This window comes from Homo sapiens, chromosome 8 (genome assembly GCF_000001405.40).
Source record: "Homo sapiens chromosome 8, GRCh38.p14 Primary Assembly".
In the NCBI taxonomy this organism is placed as follows: domain Eukaryota; kingdom Metazoa; phylum Chordata; class Mammalia; order Primates; family Hominidae; genus Homo; species Homo sapiens.
The window spans coordinates 9,040,784-9,064,887 of record NC_000008.11 but is presented as its reverse complement, the minus strand read 5'-3'; the positions used below and the strand labels follow the sequence as shown (position 1 = coordinate 9,064,887).

The window sequence follows — 24,104 nt, the reverse complement described above, 5'->3', positions numbered from 1 at the left end:
TCTCGGACTCAGCCCGCTTGCACCCAGGTGAAATAAACAGCCCTGTTGCTCACACAAAGCCTGTTTGGTGGTCTCTTCACATGGATGCGCATGAAATTTGGTGCCATGACTCGGATCAAGGGACCTCCCTTGGGAGATCAATCCCCTGTCCTCCTGCTCTTTGGTCCGTGAAAAAGATCCACCTAGGACCTCAGGTCCTCAGACCCACCAGCCCAAGGAACAACTCACCAATTTTAAATTGGGTAAGCAGCCTCTTCTTACTCTCTTCTCCAACCTCTCTCACTATCCCTCAACCACTTTCTCCTTTCAATCTTTGCACCACCCTTCAATCTCTCACTTCTCTTAATTTCAATTCCTTTCATTTTCTGGTAGAGACAAAGGAGACACGTTTTATCCGTGGACCCAAAACTCCGGTGCCAGTCACGGACTAGGGAAGGCAGCCTTCCCTTGGTGTTTAATCATTGTAGGGACGCCTCTCTGATAATTCACCCATGTTTCAGAGGTGTCTGACCACTCAAGGACGCCTGCCTTTGTCCCTCACCCTTAGCGGCAAGTACCGCTTTTCTGGGGTGCAAGAACCCCCCAACTCCTTCTCTCCATGTCTCCACCCCTTCTCTGCTTTTCTGGGGGGCAAGAAACCCCCCCAACCCCCCTTCTCCTTCACCCTTAGCGGCAAGTATCGCTTCTCTAGGGGGCAAGAACCCCCCGATCCCTTATTTCCATGCCCCGATCTCTTATCTCTGTGCCCCAATCCCTTATTTCCATGCCCCGACCTCTTATCTCTGCACCCTGACCCCTTATTTCCACACTCCAACCTCTTATCTCTGTGCCCCAACCCCTTATTTACACACCCCAACCCCTTTCCTGCTTTTCTGGAGGGTAAGAACCCCTGAACCCCTTCCCTCCGTGTCTCTACTCTCTCTTTTCTCTGGGCTTGCCTCCTTCACTATGGGCAACCTTCCACCCTCCATTCCCCCTTCTTCTCCCTTAGCCTGTGTTCTCAAGAACTTAAAACCTCTTCAACTTACACCTGACCTAAAACCTAAATGCCTTATTTTCTTCTGCAATGCCACTTGACCCCAGTATAAACTCTACAGTGGTTCCAAATAGCCAGAAAACGGCACTTTCAATTTTTCCATCCTACAAGATCTAAATAATTCTTGTTGTAAAATGGGCAAATGGTCTGAGATGCCCGATGTCCAGGCATTCTTTTACACATTGGACCCTCCCTAGTCTCTGTTCCCCATGCAACTCATCCCAAATCTTCCTTCTTTCCCTCCCGCCTGTCCCCTCAGTCCCAACCCCAAGCATCGCTGAGTCTTTCTAATCTTCCTTTTCTACAGACCCATCTGACCTCTCCCCTCCTTGCCAGGCCGAGCTAGGTCCCGATTCTTCCTCAGCCTCCGCTCCTCCACCCTATAATCCTTTTATCACCTCCCCTCCTCACACCCGGTCTGGCTTACAGTTTCATTCCATGACTAGCCCTCCCCCACCTGCCCAGCAATTTCCTCTTAAAAAGGTGGCTGGAGCTAAAGGCATAGTCAAGGTTAATGCTTTTTCTTTATCTGACCTCTCCCAAATCAGTTAGTGTTTAGGCTCTTTTTCATCAAATATAAAAAACCCAGCCCAGTTCATGGCCCCTTTAGCAGCAACTCTGAGACGCTTTACAGCCCTAGACCCTAAAAGGTCAAAAGGCCGTCTTATTCTCAATATACATTTATTTTATTACCCAATCTGCTGCCGACATTAAATAAAGCTCCAAAAATTAAATTCCGTCCCTCAAACCCCACAACAGGACTTAATTAACCTGGCCTTCAAGGTGTACAATAATAAAGTAGAGGCAGCCAAGTAGCAACATATTTCTGAGTTGCAATTCCTTGCCTCCACTGTGAGACAAACCCCAGCCACATCTCCAGCACACAAGAACTCCAAACACCTGAACCGCAGCTGCCAGGGGTTCCTCCAGAACCTCCTCCCCCAGGAGCTTGCTACAAGTGCCAGAAATCTGGCCACTGGGCCAAGGAATGCCCACAGCCCGGGATTCCTCCTAAGCCACGTCCCATCTGAGCGAGACCCCACTGAAAATCAGACTGTTCAACTCACCTGGCAGCCACTCCCAGAGCCCCTGGAACTCTGGCCCAAGGCTCTCTGACTGACTCCTTCCCAGATCTTCTCAGCTTAGCGGCTGTAGACTGACACTGCCGGATTGCCTCGGAAGCCTACAGGACCATCACAGATACTCTGATTAACTCTCACAGTGGAGGTTAAGTCCGTCCCCTTCTTAATCAATACGAAGGCTACCCACTCCACATTACCTTCTTTTCAAGGGCCTGTTTCCCTTGCCTCCATAACTGTTGTAAGTATTGACAGCCAGGCTTCTAAACCTCTTAAAACTCCCCAACTCTGGTGCCAACTTAGAAAACATTCTTTTTTGCACTCTTTTTTAGTTATCCCCACCTGCCCGGTTCCCTTATTAGGCCAAGACATTTTAACTAAATTATCTGCTTCCCTGACTGTTCCTGGACTACAGCCACACCTCATTGCTGCCCTTTTCCCCAGTTCAAAGCCTCCTTCGCATTCTCCTCTCGTATCCCCGCACCTTAACCCACAAGTATAAGATACCTCTACTCCCTCCTTGGCGACTGATCATGCACCCCTTACAATCTCATTAAAACTTAATCACCCTTACCCACTCAATGCCAATATCCTGTCCCACAGCACGCTTTAAAAAGATTAAAGCCTGTTTTCCCTCACCTGCTACAACATGGCCTTTTAAAGCCTATAAACTCCCCTTACAATTCCCCCATTTCACCTGTCCTAAAACCAGACAAAGTTTACAGGTTAGTTCAAGACTGTGCCTTATCAACCAAATTGTTTTGCCTATCCACCCCGTGGTGCCAAAACCATATACTCTCCTATCCTCAATGCCTCCCTCCACAATCCATTATTCTGTTCTGGATCTCAAACATGCTTTCTTTACTATTCCTTTGCACCCTTCATCCCAGCCTCTCTTCGCTTTCCCTTGGACTGACCCTGACACCCATCAGGCTCAGCAAATTACCTGGGCTATACTGCTGCAAAACTTCACGGACAGCACCCATTACTTCAGTCAAGCCCAAATGTCTTCCTCATCTGTTACCTATCTCGGCATAATTCTCATAAAAACACACATGCTCTCCCTGCTGATCATGTCTGGCTAATCTCCCAAACCTCAATCCCTTACAAAACAACAACTCCTTTCCTTCCCAGGCATGGTTAGTGCGGTCAGAATTCTTACAAAAGAGCTGGGACAGCACTGTGTAGCCTTTCTGTCCAAACAACTTGACCTTACTGTTTTAGCCTAGCCCTCATGTCTGCGTGCAGCGGCCGCCACTGCCCTAATACTTTCAGAGACCTTTAAAATCACAAACTATGGTCAACTCACTTTCTACACCTCTCATAACTTCCCAAGTCTATTTTCTGCCTCACACCTGATGCATATACTTTCTGCTCCCCGGGTCCTTCAGCTGTACTCACTCTTTGTTGAGTCTCCCACAATTACCATTGTTCCTGGCCCGGACTTCAATCTGGCCTCCCACATTATTCTGGATACCACATCTGACCCTCATAACTGTATCTGGCTGATCCACCTGACATTCACCCCATTTCCCCATATTTCCTTCCTTCCTGCTCCTCACCCCGATCACATTTAGTTTATTGATGGCAGTTCCAGCAGGCCTAATCGCCACTCATCAGCAAAGGCAGGCTATGCTATAGTATCTTCCACATCTATCACTGAGGCTACCGCTCCGCTCCCCTCCATTACCTCTGAACAAACCGAATTAGTTGCCTTAACTCAAGCCCTCGCTCTTGCAAAAGGACTACGCGTCAATATTTATACTGACTCTAAATATGCCTTTCATATTCTGCACCACCATGCTGTTATACAGGCTGAAAGAGGTTTCCTCACTACGCAAGCGTCCTCCATCATTAATGCCTCTTTAATAAAAACTCTGCTTAAGGCCGCTTTACTTCCAAAAGAAGCTGGGGTCATTCACTGCAAGGGGCATCAAAACGCATCAGATCCCGTTGCTCTAGACAATGCTTATGCTGATAAGGTGGCTAGACAAGCAGCTAGCTTTCCAACTTCTGTCCTTCACGGCCAGTTTCTCTCCTTCACATCGTTCACTCCCACCTACTCCCCCGCTGAAACTTCCACCTATCAATCTCTTCCCACACAAGGCAAATGGTTCTTAGACCAAGGAAAATATCTCCTTCCAGCCTCACAGGCCCATTCTATTCTGTGGTCATTTCATAACCTCTTCCATGTAGGTTACAAGCCGCTAGCCCGTCTCTTAGAACCTCTCATTTCCTTTCCATCATGGAAATCTATCCTCAAGGAGATCACTTCTCAGTGTTCCATCTGCTATTCTACTGCCCCTCAGGGATTGTTCCGGCCCCCTCCCTTCGCTACACATCAAGCTTGGAGATTTGCCCCCGCCCCCCACCAGGATTGGCAAATTGGCTTTACTCAACATGCCCCAAGTCAGAAAACTAAAATATCTCTTAGTCTGGGTAGACACTTTCACTGGATGGGTAGAGGTCTTTCTCACAGGGTCTGAGAAGGCCACCGCGGTCATTTCTTCCCTTCTGTCAGACATAATTCCTCGGTTTGGCCTTCCCACCTCTATACAGTCCAATAACAGACCAGCCTTTATTAGTCAAATCACCCAAGCAGTTTCTCAGGCTCTTGGTATTCAGTGGAAACTTCGTACCCCTTACCATCCTCAATATTCAGGAAAGGTAGAACGGACTAATGGTCTTTTAAAGACACATCTTACCAAGCTCAGCCTCCAACTTAAAAAGGACTGGACAATACTTTTACCACTTTCCCTTCTCAGAATTCAGGCCTGTCCTCGGAATGCTACAGGGTACAGCCCATTTGAGCTCCTGTATGGACGCTCCTTTTTATTAAGCCCCAGTCTCATTCCAGACACCAGACCAACTTGGACTGTGCCCCAGAAAACTTGTCATCCCTACTATCTTCTGTCTAGTCATACTCCTATTCACCATTCTCAACTACTCATACATGCCCTGCTCTTGTTTACACTGCCGGTTCACACTGTTTCTCCAAGCCATCGCAGCTGATATCGCCTGGTGCTATCCCCAAACCGCCACTCTTAACTCTTAAAGTAAATAAATAATCTTTGCTGGCAAGGCTATGCTGAACCTCCTTAGGCACTCTCTAGGTAGATGTCCTAGGTCCTCCCAATTCTTAGTCCTTTAATACCTGTTTTTCTCCTTGTCTTATTCCCTTCTTTTTTCACTTCATACAAAATTGTATCTAGGCCATCATCAATAATTCTATAAGACAAATGTTTCTTCTAACAACCCCACAATATCACCCCTTTCCACAAAATCTTCCTTCAGCTTCTCTCTCCCATTCTAGATTCCCACGCTGCCCCTAATCCTGCTCGAAGCAGCCCTGAGAAACATCGCCCGTTATCTCTCCAAACCACCCCCAAAAATTTTCGCCACCCCAACACTTTACCACTATTTCATTTTATTTTTCTTATTAATATAAGAAGACAGGAATGTCAGGCCTCTGAGCCCAAGCTAAGCCATCATATCCCCTGTGACCTGCATGTACACATCCAGATGGCCGCTTCCTGCCTTAACTGATGACATTCCACCACAAAACAAGTGAAAATGGCCTGTTCCTGCCTAAACTGATGACATTGTCTTGTGAAATTCCTTCTCCTGGCTCATCCTGGCTCAGAAGCTCCCCTACTGAGCACCTTATGACCCCCACTCCTGCCCGCCAGAGAACAACCCCGCTTTTTCCTTTACCTACCCAAATCCTATAAAACGGCCCCACCCCTATCTCCCTTCGCTGACTCTTTTTGGACTCAGCCCACCTGTACCCAGGTGAAATAAACAGCCTTATTGCTCACACAAAGCCTGTTTGGTGGTCTCTTCACACGGACGCGCATGAAAGTTGGTTTGTATGAGACGGTTAAAAAGGCCAAAGATAAAAGATTTATTTATTTATTTATTTATTTATTTATCAATGAAGTTGCTGTTTATTTATTTATTTTTTTTGGCCTATTTCACAGATGTGTGAAACAATGTTGTCCAACGATGAAATGGAATTTTATTTTGCTGAGTTGTTCTAACAACAACAGCAAAGACATCATGCATAAATCTTGTATAAGATCCACACATGGTTGCCAAGATAGGAAATACCTATGCCAATTCAATTAAGTCAAGTTAAACAGAAGACGATACTTTCAGGGATCATTTCTGTAGTTTGCTACTAGAGAAGTTCCTCTAAACGTGTAGAGAAAAAAATGTTAAACAGGAATACATGAAGATCATCAAAGAATGGACCAAATGCCACAATGTCATTATCATTTTTATTCATCACCTCATTAACATGGAGAAAACCATTGCCCCTTCTGAATTCTCACGGCAGGGATTAGTTATCATGCCCTTCATACCAGGAGCTAGGCCCATGAGTAAATGTGTTCCTGGTTTAACTCTGGAAATGCTCAGACATTAGTTAAGGGACCATGGGGCACATAGCAACCTACGAGGTCTTAAATAGAAACTGCCCGTGGCTCCACCCTTTCTCTCAGCGCACATTCACTCCATCAGGAAATCCCATCAGCTCTGCCGGATTCCTGGATCTTTTCACTCACCAGCTCCAGGGCCACGTGAGGGCTCTGGGTAATTTGCAGCAGTCTGTCTGCTCCGCCCTCTCCTCCAGCTCCTGCCTTTGACCCCCTGCAGTCTGTTTTGAATGCAGCAGCCAGCCACAGCTACTCTTTTCAAACGGCAGACAGATCTCATCACTCTTGTGGCTGAAAACTTTCTGGTCCTCCCATCTCACCCTTAGGAAAGCCCAAATGCTTGCAACGGCCCCCAAGACCCTATGAGATCCACCCCCTGGACTTCTCTGACATCAAGTCCTATTACTCCGATTGCTTGCCCCGTTTCGGCCTTCCTGGTTTCCTACTGTTCTTCCCCATGGTTGGTGCCTCTGCCAGACGCAGTGTCCCCAGGCAGCTCCCAAGGCTCTCTCACCTCCTTGCTGGGCTCTGTCCTGACCACACTTTACATCTGCAGCAGGTTTCACCCTCCAGTTTTCTCCAAACCACCCCCTACCCTTGATGCTCATTTTCCTAAAGCAATGAACATCTTTTAATTTATTTGACAACAGACTTAAGGATGTTTACTTTCTTCCTCTCCTCACTAGAATGTACAGTCCGTACAAAGAGGGATTTTTGTCTTTTTCACCAGGCCTAAAATAGTGTCTGGCTCATAAAGGGCCCATAAAAAATATGTGATGAATCAGCAAATGACTAGATGCCTAACACTTGTTTTGCAAACCACACACTAGTTAACAACTGTGATTTCTAAACTTGGACCGCAAAAGTGATTGGGTCTGTGAGCTACGTGCTGGGTCATCTAGGTGGCGATTGGAGTTGTTGCCAGTCCCTAGTGCGTTTCATTCTGCAATTACAAGTTGTGTGAGGCAGCACAGCCCAGAGTTGGGCAAAGCACCTGAAAAAAATTAGTGGCTAACACGTACACAGGAGCCAGGGACAGTGGCTCACGTCAGTCATCCCAGAACTTTGGGAGGCTGAGGCAGGAGGATCACTTGAACCCAGGAGGTCAAGGCTGCAGTGAGCAGTGATTGCACCACCATACTCCAGCCTGGGCGACAGAGCGAGTCCCTGTCTCAAACAAAACAAAACAAAAAAACAAAAAAACAGGCCGGTGTGGTGGCTCAGGCCTGTAATCCTAGCACTTTTGGAGGCCGAGGCAGGCAGATCACTTGAGGTCAGGAGTTTCAGATCAGCCTGGCCAACGTGTTGAAACCCCACCTCTATAAAAAACACAAAAATTAACCAGGTATGGTGGTGCTGCCTGTAGTTCCAGCTACTCGGGAGGCTGAGGTAGAAGAATCACTTGAACCCAGATGACAAAGATTACAGTGAGACGAGATCTTGCCACTGCACTCCAGCCTGGGTGACAGAGCAAGACTTTGTCTCAAAAAACAGACAATTACATGGGGAAAGTGTTCCCACGTAATTGATGGGATAGTCAAAATTGACGGGTAATCAAAAGTGTTTGATTACATCAAAAGTAATCAGGGAAGTATTTATCAAATCAATACAACAATTTTCCAGCTACTACATTGGTAAAGGTTTTTAAAAACTATAATAGTGCTGGCAAAGGAACGAAAAAAATGCACTTTAGACTTTGCCCTTTAGAAAACCGAGCCCTTCGCGAAGTTATTTCGAAAATGGGCCAAAAGCCTTAAGATGTTGAGGAATTCATTTGTGGGAATTTACCTTAAATGTGGAAACATCTTTTTTGGACAAATATTTTACTTACAGATGCATTTATAAAAGCCAAACTTGAAAACAACCTGCATGACTGGCCATAAGAACATGGTTAAGCAAACTATACACGGCTCATCAACTCGATTCTGTTTTAGGGACTCACTAATAGTTTAACAACGTGGGCAAGTCCTAATATGATGCTGTATAACCCCTTACCCCAACAGATAAGGGGAAAAGGCAGGTCAAATCACAACAGAGGTAGGAGCAGGACAGAGCTGTGCTCCTGCATTCTCTGACTTCAGGGAGTGCCCCATCCAGCTGATCCCAAATCCGCAGAGACAGTGTCTTCCACTTCCAGCGGAGCTGGGGATCACAGCTCCAAGGCCCAGAAACCTTTCCATTTCCAAACTCTTCTTCACGATGTCTCCTCGAAGCTCCAGGAACCCATAGCACATAGGCACCCTGTGAGATCCCAGAGCTTCTGAGGGATGTGTATGAATTAGGATCCAAGTAACAATGTTGGAGCTCAGAAAGTGATGCCCCAAAGTGAAGGCTTAGGAGTGAAGTTTCTCTCTGACCTTCCCCTGCCTTTCTGTCTCTTGCCCCTCATTTTTCCCTGAGGCAAGCCACAGAAACTAGTATTCCTCTTCCCCAAGGTAGGTCATAGAAACCAGAACCCCTTTCCCTCAAAGCTAGCTATAAAGCTTAAAAATATTCCTCCCGGGCACAGTGGCTCATGCCTGTAATCCCAGGGTTTTGGGAAGCTGAGAAGGGAGAGGATCACTTGAGGCCAATTCAAGACCAGCCTGGCCAACATGGCAAAACCCCATCTGTACTAAAAATACAAAAAATTAGCCAGGCATGGTGGCGGGTGCCTGTAATCCCAGCTACTCAGGAGGTTGAGGCACCAGAATGGCTTGAACCAGGGAGGCAGAGGTTGCAGTGAGCCGAGATCGCACCACTGCACTCCAGTCTAGGCGACAACAACAAAATATTACTCTCACCTTCCCCCACCTGTCAATGTATCAGCCGGCCATAAATAAAGACCCTCATTCCAGAGGGGTCCTGCCCTACACCAAGGAAGAAGAAATGCTGCAAACGAGAGGCCAAGAAGAATCTGAACAGGCAAGCCTGGCTAGGTTTCCCCATTCCGTTTATTACCATCAGTTCTGTTAAGTCAAGTTTGGCTTAAAGCTCTCTCCTTACATATTTTAAGTTTGACCTAAAGCACATCATGAACTATAACCTCAATGGAGTTGTAAATAGACTGTAGTCTTCTCTTGTGCCAATCACTGAGTTTTGGCCAATCAAATGTGGCCAACTGTTTAAATTGCATTCAAATAACGCAAACACTAACCTATACCCAATCTGCCTGTTTCTGTGCCTCACTTCCGTTTTCTGTATGTCACTCTCTTTTTTCTGTCCACAAATCTTCCACCACGGGGCTGTGCTGGCATCTCTGAGCCTACTCTGGCTCAGGCAGCTGCTGATTCGCGAATTGTTGTTTACTCAATTAAACTCTGTTAAATGTAATTCAGCTGAAGTTTTTCTTTTAACAGTTCATACCCTTTTTGTCCAATCACATTTCTATTTATTATGTGTTGATTTTATTTATTTATTGTTTATTTTTGAGACAGAGTCTTGCTTTGTCACCCAGGCTGGAGTGCAATGGCACGATCTCTGCCCACTGCAGCCTTGACACCCTGGGTTCAACCGAGTCTCCTGTCTCAGCCTCCTGACTAGCTGGGATTACAGGTGCCTGCCGCCACTGCGCCTGGCTAATTTTTGTATTTTTAGTAGAAATGGGGTTTTGTCATGTTGGCCAGCCTGATCTCAAACTCTTGGCCTCAAGTGATCTGCCCCCCTTGGCCTCCCAAAGTGCTGGGATCACAGGCGTGGGCCATGGTGCCTGGCCCAATCACGTTTCTACGTGGCTGTCCCTGCTTCCTTGAACCTAAATGTAAACACGGATAGTTTACTCTGGGTCTTTGGGTCTTTATCCTGAAGCCTCCTGTGCCACATAAAACTAGAATCAAATAAATTTGTTGTGCTTTTTTCCTGTCTTTTGTTGTAGGGGTGTCAGCCGTGAGCCTTACGATGGGGAGGAAAGGGATCATCCCCTTTCTGTCGCTACAATCCTCACTCCAATTACATAAAGAATAGAAACAAAAATGTAAGAAGTATAAAAAAGAGAAGAAATGTATTTGTAGAAAAGGAAAGCTGAATCCTACAAAAAAGTGCAGCCGAATAGGACGAAGTGGGTACATAACTGATGTATTTTGATGGGGATAATTTTGCCCTCACAACTGTTTTCTAATGGGAGCCTGCCATGAGTCCAAAATAGGTTATTTAAAATGTGCTCTAAAACACCATTCCCACTACAATTTATATCACCTTTAATGTATGCAATCCCCTGATGTTGCTTTTCCATGGTAAAAGAGTTGGACCATCTCTGGGGAATTTCAGCAGAATAAATCACAAATCTGGTCAACTTCATATGTGAATGTGGAAATGGGAGTTCTAGCCTATCAGGCCTTAGAACTTTGAATGCCACAGGGTGTTGTTTACCCCCCTATCACAGACATATTTCCTTTCACTTCCAAACAACCTGTTGAAAACCACCAAAGAGAGGAAGAAAGCAGAGAAAGAGAATACTATACTCTGTTATCAATGATTTGAACGTGGTTCTCTGGAGGCAATAGAGGACTTGGCTGCTTTTCAGAAGAGAATTCTTACAATCAGTTCCTCCAAAGTTCTTAGGGTTTCAACATCAATTCTCTAACATTCACTGGGTGTCCTACAGTTCAATTCTGGTACTATCAGGAGTTACTGTCATATCACACAAACCAAGGCCTCAGTTCCACAAAACGTCCAGGGCCAGTGGGGTCCCCAGGCTACCTGCACTTCTACCTGGCTGACTATAAATTGAGGAGTTTCCATGACTGCTTCAGGTTCATTAACAGACTACGGTGACTCATAGAACTCAACAAAGCACTGTATTGATGATTCACATACAGTTTCCCATAAAGGATACGACTCAAGAACAGCCAAATGGAAGAGACGTGTAGGACGAGGTATGGGGCTAGTGGCTGGGCTGTGGAGCTTCCATTCCCTCTCTGGGCATGCCATCCTCCCAGCACATCATGAGCTTATCAACCCAGAAGCTCCTGGAAGCTTGTTGCTCAAGAGTTTTTATTGAGGTGTCATGACTTAGGCATGATCAGCTAAATCATTAGCCACTGGCTGGGCGCGGTGGCTCTTGCCTATAATCCCAGCAATTTGAGAGGCCAAGGCAGGCGGACCACTTGAGGTCAGGAGTTCGAGACCAGTGGGGCCAACATGGCAAAACCCCATCTCTACTAAAAATATGAAAATTAGCCAGGTGTGGTAGTGCATGCCTGTGGTCCCAGCTATTCTGGAGGCTGAGGCAGGAGAATCTCTTGAACCCGGGAGGCAGAGGTTGCAGTCTGCTGAGATTGCGCCATTGCACTCCAGCCTGGGTGACAGAGCAAGACTCCGTCTCAAACAAAAACAAAAACAAAAACAAAAATAAATAAATCATTAGCCACTAGTGATTGAACTCAATCTCCAGTTCCCCTCTTCTCTCCAGAGGTTGAGGGGTGGAGCCAAAAGTTCCAACCCTCTAATCATAAGCTTGGTCTTTGTAGTGTGGCCAGCCTCTCTCCTGAAACTATTTAAGGGCCCACCTTGATTCACCTCAATAGCATAAACTTAGTTATGATCAGAAAGGATTCATGTATAACAACAGACATTCGAACCACTCGGAAATTTCCAAGGGTCTTTGATGCTCAGTGCCAGGAGTCAGGGATAAAGACCAAACATATTTTTTATTATACCATAGTTCTGAAATGTGTTTTCTGGGTAAATCTCTTGATTGCAGTTTCCCTAAATGTATCCTGAAGTTAACATATTTAACCTCCTTGCCAACTGTGCCCCAGTTCTGTGTGCAAAAGATGTCCCTTCATACGTGTGCACCTAGCATGTTCCTTGATTCGTTCACGGGTAATAGTGGTATATGCTGCTTACCCAGAATGCTGCTGGTGTCAGTGACGGTACCTTGCCAGAATCCCAGAGACTCAGTGCTCTAGGCGAGTTCAACCAATCAGCACCAGAATAGGAGGTGACTGTTCTCAAACTAGTGGAGTTTGTCCAGTTCTTTTGGTAGCAAGAGACGCCTGACTCAATTTTGCTTAAAGGGGATTTATTGGAAAAAAAAAAAGTATATCTAGTCCTTTCCATGGACACGGAAGAATGGAAGAAAGCAGAGAAATAGAACACAGAGAGAGACAAAAACACTGCCAGGAAGTGTACTAGGAGCAGTAGCTGAAACTCACAGAAAACGTCCCATAGAGGATAAGCCCCAAGTTTCAGCCTTGGGCAGACCCGTGTAATAAGAGCTAACACAAATAGGGTCAGTACAATAACGGCTAACATTTACTGAAGGGTTATTATTCACTAAACACTATTTTAAGCACTTTATAAACATTAATTCTTTCATTTCTCACTACGACCCTATGAGATCTGGGCTGGCATGCCCCCGTTTAACAGAGCAAGGTCACTTATTTTGTGGCATGGCATCTGAGCCTGGGCTCTCAATCCTTACACCATACTCACTCTCTAAGGATGGCTACAAAACGACTCTGCAGCTACAGTCTGAAGTTTAAGCAATTATAGTCCAAATGACTGAAAATTCTCATAAGTGAGTGCATTCGCCTGAGAAAAGGAAGTGATCATTCAAACTCATAATCAAGGAAAATGTATAACTACATAGGACACTTACAAAGATCTAAACATACAAACTCAGAAAAACTAAAGAAGTGGTTCTAGGCAGGACCAAGAGGAAGGCGTTTCCCTTAGTCGTGCTTCTTTTTTTTTTTTTGAGACAGGGTCTCAGCGCTGTCACCCAGCCTGGAGTGCAGTGGTACAGTCTCGGCTCACTGCAACATCTGCCTCCTGGGTTCAAGTGATCCTTCCACCTTAGCCTCCCAAGTAGCTGGAACTACAGGTGCATGCTACCATGCCCTGCTTATTTTTGTATTTTTAGTAGAGATGTGCTTTCACCATGTTGGCCAGGCTGTTCTCGAACTCCTGACCTCAAGGGATCTGCTTGCCTCAGCCTTCCAAAATGCTGAGATTACAGGCATGAGCCACCACGCCCAGCCCTTAGTCATGCTTCTTAAAAACACCTCCAATTTGAGCATGTTAGCAGTTTCAGCCCCCTCACCATGTGATGCTGTGAGCCACCTCAGGACTCCACAGAGTCCCCACCAGCAACAAGGCCCTCACCAGATGCAGTCCCTCAACCGTGGACTTCTCAGCCACCATACTGTAAGAAATAAACTCCTTTTCATATATATATATATTCATATATACATACATATATATATTCATATATACCTCCAATTCCCTATGGGAAAGTAATATAATTAATACCAGAACTAATATCTATCGTACCTACTTTAAATAATAATTTGTTACTTTCAGCTAATTCTTTCTGCTATCATTTTAAAGTCCAGAATAAAGAATCTACCTCCAAAGATCATTAAGTTCAGGATCAGAACCAGATGAACCAGCCCAGACAAAGAAATGAGCCCACTGAAAGAACAACGCCTTAACAAAGCTCATTTCCATCCAAAGGTGCTGCCCTGAGTCACTTTTGCACCTTATTATCTCTTTGGTCCCCACAGCAGAAGAGCAATAGGAATGATGCTGTTATTTTTATTGCATAAAGAAGGAAGAGGCCCGGAGTTGTGGTGGGATAGACCTAAGTTCCCACAGCTAACAAGTCCTGAAGCTGAGACCGGAATCCAGGCTTCTCCATTCCTTCCGTAACTCTGACTCATTTTAGGGACAATTTCCCAGATTTTATATTAATACGCATCAAAGCTCACTGGCTTGGCCTACACTCTGGTGACTTATCAGTCAGCAGTGAAACGTTCCCAATGAGGACTCAGACAGGAATAGACCTAGAAAATCTCTTTTTCTGTTCTAGCTTCAAGAACAGACCTAGAATTTTTTTTTTTTTTTTTGAGATGGAGTTTCACTCTTGTTGCCCAGGCTGGAGTGTAATGGCACCGTCTCAGCTCACTGCAACATCGACTTCCTAGGTTCAAGTGATTCTCCTGCCTCAACCTCCCAAGTAGCTGGAATTACAGGCATGTGCCACCACGCTCAGCTAATTTTGTATTTTTAGTAGAGATGGGGTTTCACCATGTTGGCCAGGGTGGTCTCGAACTCCTGACCTCAAGTGATCCACCAGCCCCTGCCTCCCAAAGTGCTAGAATTATAGGTGTGAGGCACTGCGCCCAGCCTTGACCTAGAAAATCTAATAGTAAGGCGAAAATAGCTATCTTTTTTTTTTTTTTTGACCACTTAGAATGTACCAGGCACTCTGTAAAGTGCTTTATATATATTCTACCTCACTTATCCTTAAAACATCACTGTGAGGGGTATAGTATTAGTTCTATCTTACAGACCAGGGAGCCGAAGGTTAAACAGGTTAATTTACCAAGGTAACAGTGGGTAATCCTGTATGATGGGGAGGACGTGTTCAGGTCTAGAACTCATCCTAGCCAAATGAATCAACAGAGGGAGGAACTCTGCAGGCTGCCCTTGGCATGGGCTGATGGTCATGCACTCAAATTGCCTTCTCTGGGCATTGCTGTCCACTGTCCCTCTCTCCTCACCTGCGGCCTCTGAATGACTAGGTTATCTCTCCGTTGATGTCTTCTCTTTGATGCAGAAATCCCATCCGGCCTTTGGGAGGGCTAGTATTCTTTTTTGCGGGGGTTGTGGGAGGCACAGGAGGATGCCTAGTATTCTGATACTTTTCAAAGGGCATGCTTCTGAGATGTCTCCTCCCTCAATGCAGAAGGATCAGCAAGTCAAAAGTTGTTTAACTCCTTTAAGTATTTCCTAAAGGAAGTATTTATTGGGACTCACTGTTAGGCACACAATTTAAGAAAAATAATATTTTCATGCTTTTTTTTTTAAAGTCAAAATTAATGCCAAAAAATCCACAAAATTCAAATAAAGACAAGATCCAAAGGTCTAGTTGCAGGACTCCCCGCACTCCCTTCACCCCAACCTCAGCAACCCTGTCAGATGCTATCCATATTTCAATACTTGACATTTTTTTTTCACCATTAATTTTTTTGCATTAATGTTGCTCTTTTTTTTTTTTTTTTTTTTTTTTTTTTTGGAGACGGAGTCTCACTCTGTCGCCCAGGCTGGAGTACAGTGGCGTGCTCTCGGCTCACTGCAAGCTCTGCCTCCTCAGTTCAAGCGATTCTCCTGCCTCAGTCTCCTGAGTAGCTGGGATTACAGGCTCCCGCCACCACGCCGGGCAAATTTTTGTATTTTTAGTAGAGACGGGGTTTCACCATGTTGGCCAAGCTTGAGAACTCCTGACCTCAGGTGATCCGCCCACCTCGACCTCCCAAAGTGCTGGAATTACAGGTGTAAGCCACTGCGCCCAGCTGCCCTTTGTAAAGATGGCATTCAAACATTATTTATGTGGACGGCTGCATTTACATCTCGCTCACCTCCACCTATCTTGATCCTGGACTGGGTGCATAAAGAACAGAATGCTGGCCGAGCGCGGTGGCTCACGCCTGTAATCCCAGCACTTTGGGAGGCTGAGGGGAGAGGATTTTTTGAGCCCAGGAGTTCAAGACCAGCCTGGGCAACATAGCAAGACCCCATCTCCACTAAAAATAAAAATAATAATAATTAGCCAGGGGCACGTACCTGTGGTCCCAGCTACTCAGGAAGCTGAGGTGGGAGGATCACCTGAGCTAGGGAGATTGAGGCTGCAGTCAACTATGATTGCACCACTGCACTCCAGCCTAGACAACGGAGCAAGATCCTGTCTCAAAACAAAGGACAGAATTATGACAATGGGCTTTGATTTCCACTGGACCTTTTCCCCATGTCCTTCCCTGCCTCCTTCACACATCAGCTGTTATCTGCTGGCCCCACCAGAAGAGTGACCACAGTTTATAGCTGGGCAACGCCTCACTCCACCAGGCCCTGGGGGAGATGGAGGAAAGGAAAAGTCTTCTCCATTTTCCACCAGAGCTGCAGAAGGAGTTTGGCTGTCTTTCTTCTTCTTAAGGACGTTTTTTAAACTATCAATTGAGTAATGTGCCAGGAGGGAAATTCCTATCTTGAACCCTCACATCAGTGCTGACATGTAATTCGAATTATTGAATTCTCATCACTGCTTCCCTAATGCAGTGATTTTCAGTCTTAAAAAAAACAAATCCCTATGCCCAAGCTGCTCTCAGATCGATGAAGCAAATCAGTGCCTCCAGAGATGACAGCCCAGCGTCTGCGCTGGTCGCAGCTTCCTTGATGACTCCAGTACGCAGACAAGGTTGAGCACAGTTGCTTTAGAGAAAGACTGGGCTTTGTTTTTCTTCACTCAGGTGGTTGTGGCCCTTCCCAGAGGACAATGCAAGAAAGGCTGCAGAGTCTGGGGGACCTAGGTTCAAGTCCTGGCTTTCCCACTTACTGGCTTTGTGGCCTTGGACAAGAGAGTTGACTTTCATTTCCTCAGCTGTGCTATGGACATAATAACAGAATCTCCCTCTTGGACTTGTTTGAAGAGATCAAGCCAAGGCATCTGGAACACCTGGCATGGTGCCTGGTGGGCGTGTGTGCACTCGTGCACCCCAACACACAGCGTGAACGATTAGTATTAGCAGTGATGAATCCCTTCTTCAAACAAAATGATAGGAAGCTCAATTAATAAATAGGTATAGGTGGAACTGCTCTGTTGGAAGGGGAGAGGGGAGGGAGAGATGCAGGCTTCACTCTCCTTTTCTTTCTTTTTAAGAGACAGGGTCTCTCTCTGTTGCCCAGGCTGGAGTGCAATTGTGCTATCATAGCTCACTGCAGCCTCAAACTCCTGGGCTCAAGCCATCCTCCCACCTCAGCCTCCTGAGTAGCTGGGACTGCAGATATGCACCTGTGTACAGGTGTGTAAAAATTAGCCTGGCTAATTTTAAAAACTTTTTTTTTTTTAGAGATGGGGTCTTGCTATGTTGCCCAGGCTGGTCAGGTGACATTTTCAGCTTCAGAACTTCTGCAGCCCATTTCCCATCTCCTAGTGGCAAGCATCTGCCAGCCAGCTGACTGGCTAGGCCCAGGGACCACTCTGTGGCCACAGAAGTGAGCAGAGAAGGGCTCCTTAGCCTAAGTGGCTTTCTGGCCACAGGCTAATTAGTGGAGTAAGCCACCACTAGCTGAGCTCACCAACTCACCCGAAAGGCACTGCTATAAACTCCCAGTCCCCAGCCAGATGAATGTCTCTGTTTGATTTTTAGGTGTGGGATGGTGGCTAGAGGCTGGAATGTGTTTCCTAAGTAGGTGAATATCTAAGTGCCCTGTGCAGGAAGATGGTCAGGGCATGCAGGCTTGGCAAGGAGTGCTCCTTCTGGGAAAGAGCAGCTTGCCTGTTTTCCCTGTTGGGAACAGCCGTGCTTTATTCGGTTCTTGGGCAGTATTGATTGTTTCTGCCATATGCTAAAACCTAACAGGTCAAAAAAATCTCAGCCCAGTTCACAGACCTCTGCCAGCCTCAGGCTGATTCGGAGGGTGAGGCAGAAGGTACAGGCTGCAATCAGCGTGTGTGAAATTGGCTCTGCCTGGAGCTCATCTGTGCCACAAAACTGATTGTATTTCCTCTTCCCAAGGGGAGGCCGATGTGGGCCCTGCTTGTGAGAGTGGAACTTCCACTGCTTTCTTCCATTTCTTCCAATCCAGACAGCATCTTGAATTTCTCTTTTCCTAAGGGGATGTTCTTTGTACCAAGCTAATAGCTGCATAAAAGACTCAATAGTAAAGGTGTTTTTGCTTTTTCCTTCCTGAGCAAGAGCTCATTTCCAGAGTTGTTTGGGGAGAAAGTTGATATTTCATACCTAGCATGTTTAAAGTGTGTCCCTTCATTGTTCTTTAGGGATGCTATTTGAGTAAGAGTCGTAGTCACTGGGCTCTTTAATTGCAAGTAACAGAAACCAACTTGTGCTGTCCTTAGCCGGAGAGGGGAATTTCTCAAAGAAATAAAGGAGCATCTCATGGAAGCAAGGAGAGGAGTGTGGCCGTGTGCAGTGTGGCCTCAGGAACTGCAGAGGTCTCAGGGCTGCTCTGCCTCATCTCCTCTAGGCAGTCTCGCATATGTGCTGCTCATGTCTCTCTCTGCTGACTGGCTTTTACTGCCAGGCTGCAAGGAGAAATGTCACTGTCACTCGGAGGGCAGACTCATCACTGCCACTCAAGAGATATGCTCAGAAGAACTAGCATCTTTCAGAACCGCTTCTCAGGACAGAGAACCTCACTGGTCACATTCCATCAGCAAGACCAATGGCGATGGCTGATGGCCCAGCAGCGGTCCTCTCAGCCAAGGTCTCCAGATCTAAGGATCACAGTTACCTGTGGGAATTTGTTTTCTTAATTTAATTTTTAAATGAATTTTCTTTAACACAGGCCCAACTCCGCCCCCTAGAATCTCTGAGTGGGGTCTGGGACTCTGTATTAAAAATTCATCTATAGATATGGCCACGTGCAGTGGCTCACACCTGTAATCTTAACACTTTGGGAGGCTGAGGCAGGTGGATCACTTGAGGTCAGGAATTCAAGACCAGCCTGGCCAACACGGTGCAACCCCATCTCTACTAAAAATACAAAAATATTAGCCAGGCGTGGTGATGCATGCCTGTAATCCCAGCTACTCAGGAGGCTGAGGCAGGAGAATCACTTGAACCCGGGAGGTGGAGGTCGCAGTGAGCCGAGATTGTGCCACTGCCCTCTAGCCTGGGTGACAGAGTGAGACTCCATCTCAAAAAAAAAAAAAAAAAATTCTATAGATTCTGATGATAAATTAGATTTATTTATATTTTAATACAAATAGGGGTCTTGCTATGTTACCCAGGCTGATCTCAAATTCCTGGGCTCAAGTGATCCTCCTGCCTTGGCCTCCCCAGTAGCTGAGATTACAGGCATGAGCCACCATGCCCAGGGTCAATACATCAGATTTGAGAGCCACTGAAACACAGTTTTTGGTATCCATGAATGTTTCTACTAAAGTCTAATGAGAGCCTGCCTATTAAGCTATCTATTCGTGGAGGCTAGACCTATACAGCTGGAGTGAGCAATTCGTTTCAGTGCAAGTATACGTAAGTGGGATGGGGAAGTCCCTACCCTACAGAGCACTGGCTGTAGAACCAGTCTAGTGGAAATCTGAGAAGCCAGCTTAGGGCTGAACGTAATATTACTACTTTTTTTTTTTTTTTTTTTTTTGAGACAGAGTCTCACTCTGTCGTCCAGGCTGGAGTGCAGTGGCGCGATCTCTGCTCACTGCAAGCTCCACCTCCCTGGTTCACGCCATTCTCCTGCCTCAGCCTCCAGAGTAGCTGGGACTACAGGTGCCCGCCACTACGCCCAGCTAATTTTTTGTATTTTTGTAGAGACAGGGTTTCACCGTGTTAGCCAGGATGGTCTCGATCTCCTGACCTCGTGATCCGCCTGACTCGGCCTCCCAAAGTGCTGGGATTACAGGCTTGAGCCACCACGCCTGGCAATATTACTACTCTTAAGGGCTTCGTGGTCAGGACTCTAAGGCGAGATTTCAGAACAGTTCTCACCATGTGAAATCTGGCTCAGTGTTAGCAAGATGATGATGCAGGTGTGGCAGGTCAGGGTGAGAGTCAAGGGCAGGTTTGGAATCTCTATCTGCACATTGAGGAAAAGGAGAACTCCACTGGGAAAATACCGTCTTGGAGACTCCAGTGGTGTTTCATGTTTCTGTGTTTCTGTTTCTTCAACATGCTGTGTCTGCTGCTTGGTAAACGATTGCTTCTCTTTCTAATGTCATGATTTGTTCTTCAAGGCTTAGCTTGTGTTTCCACCTGAAAGAGCCCTCTTTGACCCCCTAGTCCATTAAGCTTTGCTTCTGCTCCTACACTGTCCTCTGTGTACTTTGGCCACATCATGGATTGTAATTATTTCTCCATCATCTCCAGTTGATGATGGGTAGTTGGCAATTTGCTAACTAGACCTACCTGTATGGGGGCCAGTGTGAACTCTCCTACTGAACTGACGCAGTGATGTGTCTGCTGACCTGGTCGCTGGCTTCCCTTCTGTTCCTCACATCCTCCTGATTCCCACACCAAAGTCACCTCGCTTCTTTCAACAATCTCAGCACCATTCCAGGATCCGGGATCACTTATCCGCTAATCAGAGAAAATGTAAGGAGCTCTAGACTTGTTGCCCTGCATCCAGCATGCCATGCTAACAAGGACATCCTTTCGCACCATGATGGATTTTGAAGATGTTTTATTTGAAGATGTTTTATCTTACTCTGATACCCTCGCTAAATCAGCTGTAATTCACTACCCATAATTCAGATGATATCCTATTTAACTCCGACAACAACCCTATGAAGAGTTTTGTAAGGAAAATTGGGAGCTCATAAAGGTTAAGTAACTTGCTGAGGTCCCACCACCAGTAAGTCTCAGAACCAAGATCTAAACCCAGGTCTAATTCCAATCTCTTATAGCCTTAAACACCATGCTACACCGTAGGCCTCTTTTGAAACTTACTTTACATTGTTAACTATCTTTCCCTGCTTATGCCTTATTTTCTCAATTAGAATTAAATATTCAGTAAATATTTCTTTGTTGAATATAAACAATACAATTATGGCCTGTAGTCCCAGCTACTCAGGAGGCTGAGGTAGGAGGATGGCTTGAGCACAGGAGTTCAAGTTCTGCCTGAGCAAGATAGTGAGACCCTGTCTCCAACGAAAATAAAACAAAAATAATATCTCCAATAAACAACACAATTATGGATAGTGTGTCACTGGACTGAACTTTAAAAAAGCTTCCAAAATTGCCCAACCTCTCATGGAATACCAAATACATAATAATTTTCTAGAACTATCTATTTAAAAGTTTCTACCAAAGTGAGTCTAGGCCTATTTGCATCTCATCTGCCTATCATGGATGATGAAAAGATTTCTCCACAATTGTCTCCATCTTCCATAAGAGATGTTCCTGAACTCCAAAGAACCACCACTTCCTCTGAGCTCTTTGATTTAGGCCTGGCCTCTACATGCTTGGGTGAAGAATGTAAAAAGTAAGACAGAATGATGGGGTCCAGGCACAGCTCTGATTATTCATAATTGAGTCACAAAAGCGTCACAAAAGCTGGGCTTGAAACTGGGTGGTTGGGGGAGGGTGCTGCATACACAGGTTTCACCTACATATCTGAGCCACACAAAAACACACTCATTGCTTGTCTTAAAGGTGGGAGTTTCAAGAAGACACAAGTGTTTTGAAGGATGTCAGAAATGGTTTGCATCAATTATACACGAAGAAGTAGAATAACACCTTAAAAATAAATCCGAATTATGTACCCCTTCCACAGTCAAGCATGGTTCCAAGGCCAGAAACCTAAAGAGATGCCCTTAGACGTAAGAGTAGAATCAAACACAATCTATTCCAACAGCAGAAATGAAGTGTCTACTGCCAGGAAGTGCAGCCACACCTTTCTTCTCCAGATCCTTGCAGACTGCAGAGCATGTGCCGGGGGACATACGGCACTGCGCGTGGGAGCATGCAGGGTAACTGACTGAAGCAGGTGCACGTGTAGGTTGAGCATCCCTTCTCTGAAATGCTAGGGACCAGAAATGTTTCAGATTTTGAATCTTCTCAGATCTTGGAATATCCGTATTATATTGATATTTATTCGTTGAGCATCACTAATCCGAAATCATGACAACACTCAAAAAGCTTCAGATTTTGGATCGTTTCTGATTCTCGCACTAGGGATGCTCAACCTGTGTTACCTCCTCAAAGCATAACACTTCCCTCCAGTTTTGTTAGCTAACTTTCATTCTGGACACAAGGACCCATCGCATCTAGGCTTCCTCCAGGGCCACAAAGCCCCAGAAGGCCTGCGGTGTGACAAATGACGCTACCTCCTCAAAGAACAGGGAACTGGCAGATTTGAGTATAATGGGAGGGTGTTCCCTGACTTGAGTGACACAAGAGTAGGCTGTGTGTGTGTTGGAGGCGGGAGAGGGCGTAGCAGTTGAGGAAATAAGCATCTGTTTGTTTCTTAATGTATAAAATTTAAAACGCTGGTGACACCTATGAAATACTCAAGAAATTGGATCTCAAAAGAGAGATCAGGGCAATAGATTTTAGGAACCTTTTGCAGAGAAGGGATAGTTGAAATCTTGTGTGCCACAGAGAGAAATTATCGCAAAGGGAGGACCAAGGACACAGCGTACAAAACATACGCTGGGTGAGGCATTCTGGCAATGCAGCCTCCAAGTTCCTTCTCTTTTCTGTGCAGACATTTCTCTTGGCCTTGAGGAATTCCTAATGCTTATCTTATTCTACTACATCTAATTTCTTTCCCCCAGGTGGGTTTGGTTTGTTCTTGCTTTTCCAGTTCCTTGAGGTACTCTGTTAGGTTGTTCATTTAAAAATCTCTTGGCTGGGTGCGGTGGCTCATGCCTATAATCCCAGCACTTTGGGAGGCCAAGGTGGGAGGATCACCCAAGGTCAGGAGTTCAAGATTAGCCTGGCCAACATGGTGAAACCACGTCTCTACTAAAAATACAAAATCAGCTGGGCGTGGTGGTGCATGCCTGTATTCCCAGCTACTCGAGAGGCTGAGGCAAGAGAATCGCCTGAACCCGGGAGGCAGAGGTTGAAGTCAGCCGAGATCACGCCACTGCACTTCAGCCTAGGCGACAACAGCGAAACTCTGTCTAAAAAGAAAGAAATCTCTCTAGTTTTTAAATGCAGCCACGTATTGCTATAAACTTGCCTCTCAATACTGTTTTTGCTAGGTCTCATAGGTTTTGGTACACTGTGTTTCTATTTCATTTGTTTCAAGGAAGTTTTAAATCTCATTCTTAATTTCTTCTTTCACCCATTGATCATTCAGGAGCATGTTGTTTAATTTGCACGTGTTTGTTTAGTTTTGAATGTTCCTTGTTACTGATGCCTAGTTTAATTCCGTTGTAGTCAGATAAGATGTTTGATACAATTTCGATTTTTTAAAAGCTCTTGAGACTTGTTTTGTGTCCTAACCTATGGTCAACCCTGGAGAATGTTCCATGTGCCGATGAGAAGAGCGTGTATGCCTCAACACACCTGATTTTTAAAAGCTCCCCCTCCTACTCTCCTACCTTCCTTGTATTCTCTCTTGGGAGAATACAAGGAAGTTGCCTGTAGTAAGGAATGTAGGATTTAACATAAATTTTACGACTTAAGGTTTCTTTGTATTTTACTTGTTTCTCCTGAATTTCCAGAATCATCCCTAATACGTTGTTGCTTGGAATTCCCACATTTTTCTCACCAGACACACAGAATGAACAAAAGTCATGCTCATTGTTCCCCCACTGTACTCTTCATGCGTTTTAGGCAGGCGAGCAGAAGTGCAGCGTAATCGCTGAAACACTCAGCGGAGCAAGTGCCTGGGGGCTCAGCTGTCTGCACTGAAAACGGTCTCATTACGCTATACCTTGTATGCATGCAATTTCAGCATGGCCCAGGACTGAGTAAGCACTAGACCGAGGTGGGAATAATGCTAACCCAGGTGTTACTGACTTTATCTAAAGGAACTCAAAAGGCTTGGTGCTGGCGGGCTGATGGAGAGGCTTCTTGACAATGAGGCAGGGGCAGGTTTGTGCTCCACTCTCCTTACAAAAGTCTAAGTTCGTTTTGTCAGCGCTAA

At 45.7% G+C, this 24,104-nt stretch overlaps 1 protein-coding gene and 2 non-coding genes across 4 annotated transcripts in view, besides 1 other annotated feature; 1 reads left to right on the top strand and 2 right to left on the bottom strand.

Annotated features, from left to right (window-relative positions):
• The window catches only part of ERI1 (exoribonuclease 1), a 97,208-nt gene that overhangs the window by 35,217 nt on the left and 37,887 nt on the right, over positions 1 to 24,104 (bottom strand). The gene's annotated exons all lie outside the window — the stretch shown is intronic.
• Positions 3,779 to 4,324: an enhancer, noted in NCBI's record as "NANOG hESC enhancer chr8:8918074-8918619 (GRCh37/hg19 assembly coordinates)". NCBI's record gives its function as "activates a minimal SCP1, AML or CMV promoter by ChIP-STARR-seq in primed H9 embryonic stem cells {active_cell/tissue: H9 hESC(primed)}" and the evidence as "EXISTENCE:reporter gene assay evidence [ECO:0000049][PMID:30033119]".
• Positions 6,258 to 6,349, top strand: SNORD3I (small nucleolar RNA, C/D box 3I). Its single transcript, NR_145772.1, has one exon. It is a non-coding gene; the product is annotated as a small nucleolar RNA, C/D box 3I (small nucleolar RNA).
• Positions 16,370 to 16,443, bottom strand: MIR4660 (microRNA 4660). Its single transcript, NR_039804.1, has one exon. It is a non-coding gene; the product is annotated as a microRNA 4660 (primary transcript).